Raw genomic sequence first — 6,000 nt, 5'->3', positions numbered from 1 at the left:
TTTATTATAGTATAGTTTATTTAATACAATGTTTAACTATAAAAGTTAATACAGCTTCCAAGTTTCAATTTTGTAAAATGCAGTTTGCAGAAAAGTTCAACAATTACTAGACTAATGATAAGAGAAGCAGCATTTTGAAACTAATTTTACAATTGAGAAGACAACAGCTTTTTTTCTAAACTTCATTAAAAAAATATAATCACAGTGACTTTTGGGCTAGGAAAAGAAGTGCATTAACTTCATTTATGTTTTTTCCTTCCACAAAGAGAGCGGCCACAATTTTGTACATCCCACATACAAATACCCAATTCATTTATCTTTCAAAATACTATATACACACAAAAGGGGAAGAAAATATACAGCATGTGCTTTTGGTAACATATGGAATTTGCTTAAAGAAAAAAAGTCAGAAACACAAATCCACCCCACCACTCCCTCACATACCTTTTAAAACAAACTAAACCCCTCAACAACTCCCTACTCCAACCTTGTTGACGGAATTTTCTTATTCATGTCATTTTTCTTTTCCTTTAATATATACCTCTTTGTCACACAATAGGCCAAAGACTTTGCACTTGCCCGAATCCACTGAAGGCAGTTAGTTGGGAAGCTCACTATGGGCAGTTGTGCCAGTCAATGCTGTACTTCCTGGGGGCTTATTAATTTTTAAAACAAGTATTTGTAACAAAACACATCTTTTCACAATAAACAGCTTATCAACCTATAATCCTTATTCAATTGTAAATGTATAAATCCAAAATGAAATAATTACAGTAAACATAATCAAAAGGAAACAGAAGAACACCCATTTTGTTTCTTTATAACAAATCAGCTATGGTAGGTATTTAAAGTACCTTCTGGTGAAGGCAAACCCAACAAGCTTCTACAGAAATTTAGTATAAAAAGTTTAGTGTGATGAAAACTATATTACCAACTGGAATGAAGTACAATAAACTACTAACAAACATACTAACTTGCTACATATACTAACTAAAATAAATTAGAATTGTCAAGTTAATACCACTACCCAAAATACCAGAGATCCAATATGTGCCTATCCATAATGAAGAGTTCTTTAATTGTTTAGCTCCATACCTTCCACTAGGCACAAATATCAAAGGTCATTCCGCAAAGCCGTCCATGCATCAGTATCACATTTGTGCAAAGGCAGATTTATCAGATAAATTCTTTGCAACTTCTGAGGGCTTCAATTAAGTAACTTAAAACTATGAACTTACCAACTATGTAGTAATTTAATCAAAGAATGTTTTAAAGCAATCCAGTAGCTTCTCTACTGCTCATTTCATTAACATTAATCTCACCATAGTGTCAATTTCTGTGGCAGATGGCTTACCCAGAAAAATAATTCATACAAAATAACCATGAAAATTCTACATATTGAAAAAATTTTCTCAGCTATCACCAATTGAGCAATAAATCAGTTTAAATATTTTTAAAAGGATATTAAGTCAAAAATACTTTGACATGAACCATAAATTTAGACATAACTATAAAACCAACTTGATGGGAAAGTAATAGTTGACTTTTAGGAAAACAATGTTCAAAGCAAAAACTAAAGATGGCACAACTACTAAATGTAACAAAAGGAAAGGACCATTTGAGCCGTGTGCTATTCAGATGCATGCGCAGATCCTGAGGTACAGTTAATGCTGTTTAATCATTTTAAAAATGTTCTTTATATTCTAAAAATAAAATCTAGTTGATTGTCCTCTCAACTCCTTCACATCTGTTCTGTAAAGAGAGCTAATAAAACTTTAAAATAAGGACTATAAATAATGCGGAGCATGGAGTTGCTCTTTTGATAACCCAAACAGAATATTGCCTATAGAAATTACTACAATTTTTTTCCCTATGGTTACTTTTTGAAACTCTAAGATTTGGAAATCCTTATGTATAATTTTTAGTAGATAAAGCTCTGGGATCAGACAACATGTAAGAATTTTTACTTAGCATGGACTTAAAAAAAATATTTAACTGTTATTAGAAATCCTTTCTTAAATAGCACCTTTCTTAAAGCTCAAATAGTTTATAACAACAATTTTAAAATGCAGTTAACTGAAATTAAGACAAACAATAACTTGCTTAAACTACATAACGTTATATAGCTTGGGCACTCAGACTCAATTATCCCTAATGTGGGTTTGTGGTCAGTCTCTAAGGAATCAATCACCTTGGATTTTATAATAAACATCTACTACTTTTATCATCGGAAAAAAAAATTTTGGAAAGAATTCATTGTGGATATCTGTATTACAATTTTCCAAGCAATCTTATGGTCATTACACTATTCATTCTGCAACAGCTACCACAACGCCAAATATATCAATATTGCATTAATCAATAGTGGGAAGTATCATGTTAATAATTGCTTTATTCAGTACAAATAGCATTGAGTAGCTACTGGATTTACCAAGAAGCTACCTTGGTAACAGAGTTGACACTACACTGACAAATATTAAAGTACAAAACTCTCTAGAGAATCCTATTAATTGGAATTTTGAAATTCCTTTTCAAATGAGGCAGGTTTTATGTTTGCTGGATGTTCAATGTTTTATTTAGAAGAGATTACAGAATAAAAGGCCACACATCACAAAAATGGCAAAATACAACACCCAAAACTCTAAATGGACTTTGGATATGTTTAGTGTTTAACTCTGTAAACTATCAAAATTTGCAACTTTCTACTCTACTCTATATGGCAATGTTATACATGCCAAGTTAAAATAACATTAACAGTAATGGTATAAAACCACCTGAAGAGAAAGAAACCAGAGTCATAAACATGCTATAGCCTATCGTGATACATATATAGAAAAGATGCATTTTCTTGCCATTTGGAACTCACAGCTATGAGAGTTAGAGAAGTCAGTTCAATTAAAACAAACAAAATCCATGCAGAGTTAACACTCAATTCTATATAGGTTGGAGGCCAAAAAAGAGAAATCTTAGAAGTTAATGTCTCAATACTAACAATTTTTAGAATCTGTATAGCTTAAGGACCTGCACAAATGGTATGTTTTAATGAGAAAAGCTTTTTTTTTTTTAAAGTTTAGAGAAGGGTAATTAATAATTAAAACGTTCCCAAAACTCTTCAAACCAAAAGCAACACAGAACTGAGAATCACAATCTGATTTTCCAAGGTATAGTTCCTGTCAAATGCTGTATAACAGCAACTCAAGCTCAATCAGTACATCAACTGAAAAAAATTACTCTTACGATTTTTATAGGCAGTTAAGTAAAACACAACTAGACAGGAAAAGCATTAATAGGAAACAAGCTATGGCTCGAACTATAAAGAATAGAGTATGAAGTGCAATATAAATACATCTATTTTAAAGCACAAATTACTATAAAATCAAAAGTGATGATTTAAGATCTCAGGTTATTAGGACCCTGCTTCTGTGTAATTAAAAGAAACCGCTGCAAACCTCTATTTATAACGCAATCAGAAAATCTATACAAGATGTCTTCTAGTGGCTTCTAAAGTTACTTTAATCATGAGAAACACAAGCTTTTGCAACAATGCATTGCAACCATTCCAAATGGCTGACTAAACAAATTAGGATGCTATTGGCTAATTGTTGCAACACAGTAATGCATACATAAAATAGTTAAACACAGCACACAGTACTACACCAAAGTGTTTTTCTCATGTCGAGTTTATTAAAACTTTAGCAGTACAAATTATCCAGATTGCAGATTATCAAAAAATCAACTCAATGAAATCCACATTAAGAAAAAAAAGGACAAACATAAAACAATCCAAAAACAATGAAAAGGAAAACAACATAAAGGAGATTCATTAGCAAGTCTCTCAAACTTAAAATCCGAAACAGAATGGAAGTAAGTTTATATAACTCACTCATCCGCTTTTGTCTTCATCTGTTCCAGGGCTTGATTCATGATCAAATTTTTTATTTTTTTCATGTACATGGTCATTTTCTTGACCTTTTGATTTTTGGTTTTCTTTTTCCACTGAGGATCTGATCTTCTCATCCTCCTTATTTTTCAACATGGAGGACTTTAATTCATTGTCCTGACTGCTTTGTTTTATTTTTGAGAAGGGACTTTGATCTCTATCAGCCTTTTTTTCCCTGCTGTTATTTGAGCTATTATGATCACGACTTTTAGAGTACATTCTTTTCTCACTCTCAGAATTTTCTTTTCTGTGTGAGCTCTTACTCTCTTGGTTTCTGTATTTGTCTTTGTTTCTGCTTTGACTTTCTTCTCTCTCTGAGCTCCGTGAGTCTCTCCTCCTTCTCCTCCTATCTTTACTTCTTGATCTTCCTGGTGGTGTTCTTCTCTCTCGGCTTCGTGACCGTCCTCTTCTCCTGTATTCCTGTTCTCTGTATCTATGGTACTCCTTGCTTCTGCTGCGATCTCTGTCATGGGTTCTTGATCGCACTCTTCTGCTTCTGTCCCTACTTCTGCTTCGTTCTCTTGTTCTGCTATTATAACTGTGTTTACCTTTAGTTATATCACATTCTCTACTCCTGGATTGTGCGCGTCTATCCTTTTCCTTACTTTTACTGTGATCATGCTCATTACTCTTTGATTCTAACTGTTTAGACTTCTCTTTACTTCTACTCCTTTCCTGATCTTTTCCTTTAGAATCAGACTGCTTTTCTTTTTCTTTAACATTTTCATGATCCCTTCCTTTACTCCTTGACCTCATCCTCTTTTCTTCATTTCTATTATGTTTTGAATCTCTTTCTTTACTCTTTGATTTCTCTTTGCTCTTACTCCTACTTTTAGATTTGGCCCTTTTCTTCACTTTGTTTTTATACTTGTCATCTTTTTCTGAATTTCTTCTGATGTCTCTCTCTTTGCTGTTAGATTTATGGTCTTTAACTTTCTTCTCCTTTTCATTTTTTCTGTTTGGACTCTCAGATACATTCCTGTGATCTGTTATTTTTCTCTCTTTTACTCTAACTGGACTTCTCTGATTTTCTTTTATTTCATTCAACTCACTCCTAAAAAATAAGAAAAAGAATTGGGGAAATGTTATTAGGAAAAGAACTGTAGATATTATTAGCTAAAATGATATTCTACTTTTCTTAAGGTATTCAGCAATAACTAAAATGACAATAACTTTATGTATAATAGTAAAAGCAAACACTTATCATTACATTTGAAATAATAATAGTTAAATCTTACTTATCCCCCTTGATCCATCTTTCACCACTTGATACCCTCATTCTTTGAGCTCTCTGCATCTCTTGCCTCCAATGTGGAGGAGTCTCACTACGTCTGAAACGATCCCTTGATCTGGATCTGGAAGGAGTTCGATAACGCTAAAGAAAATTAAAATAGGGAAAAATTAATGTATAGAAGTATAGAGGGACTCGCATGGGTGCTGGGAGGGAGGGAAGTACTGGGGTGAGGGTCAGGAGGTAGTAAGGGGTACAAAATAAAAAAAATATAAAAAGCATTGAAACAGTAGCTTAAAAGTATATGTTTCCAGGTTAAAATAAAACGTCTGATATTTCTATACCCTGAAAATTACTAAAATTTCCCAATTTTCATATAGGAAATCAATGAGGCAGAGAAACTTAAGTTGTCATGTTGCAAATTCCAAGAAACATTAATCACAAAAACTTTAGCTGCTAGCCATACGTCTTCTCCATGGAAGAGTCCTAACCAAGTAATGCTAGAGCAACTCATAAGTTGCCAAGTTCCAATCTAAATGTTATATATACTTAATGTTTCAAAGCAAATATTTCTCATATTATGGGGAAAACAGAGTAAATGTGTAGATGTTCACTTATTCAACCCTTAGGATGACCAAACACTCTTATTACATACTGAGAGAACATCAGTGAGCCAAGATATATGAGTGTGCTTTCCTGGAACTCATATTCTACAGGACTTGGAGAGCATGTGAATGAACATATAATCACATATGTTAAACATATATGCAGCTATAATAGAATGGGTATAAAAGGAAAAGGGAAAAGATGCTGACAGGAAGGTTCTGAG

General features: G+C 32.8%; 1 protein-coding gene across 3 annotated transcripts in view; it reads right to left on the bottom strand.

Annotated features, from left to right (window-relative positions):
• The window catches only part of PPIG (peptidylprolyl isomerase G), a 57,056-nt gene continuing 51,056 nt past the window's right edge, over positions 1 to 6,000 (bottom strand). For all 3 annotated transcript variants that reach the window (XM_005246967.2, NM_004792.3, XM_005246966.3), the window contains exons 13-14: positions 5,179 to 5,315; positions 1 to 4,994 (exon numbers count right to left, since the gene is read on the bottom strand). In XM_005246967.2, coding sequence (XP_005247024.1) covers positions 3,884 to 4,994; positions 5,179 to 5,315 — 1,248 coding nt within the window. In that variant the 3' untranslated portion in view covers positions 1 to 3,883. The remainder of the gene's footprint in view (positions 4,995 to 5,178; positions 5,316 to 6,000) is intronic.

Source organism: Homo sapiens, chromosome 2, assembly GCF_000001405.40.
Source record: "Homo sapiens chromosome 2, GRCh38.p14 Primary Assembly".
Lineage (NCBI taxonomy): Eukaryota > Metazoa > Chordata > Mammalia > Primates > Hominidae > Homo > Homo sapiens.
The sequence above is the reverse complement of the archived record's forward strand: the minus strand, read 5'-3'. Positions and strand labels throughout refer to the sequence as shown.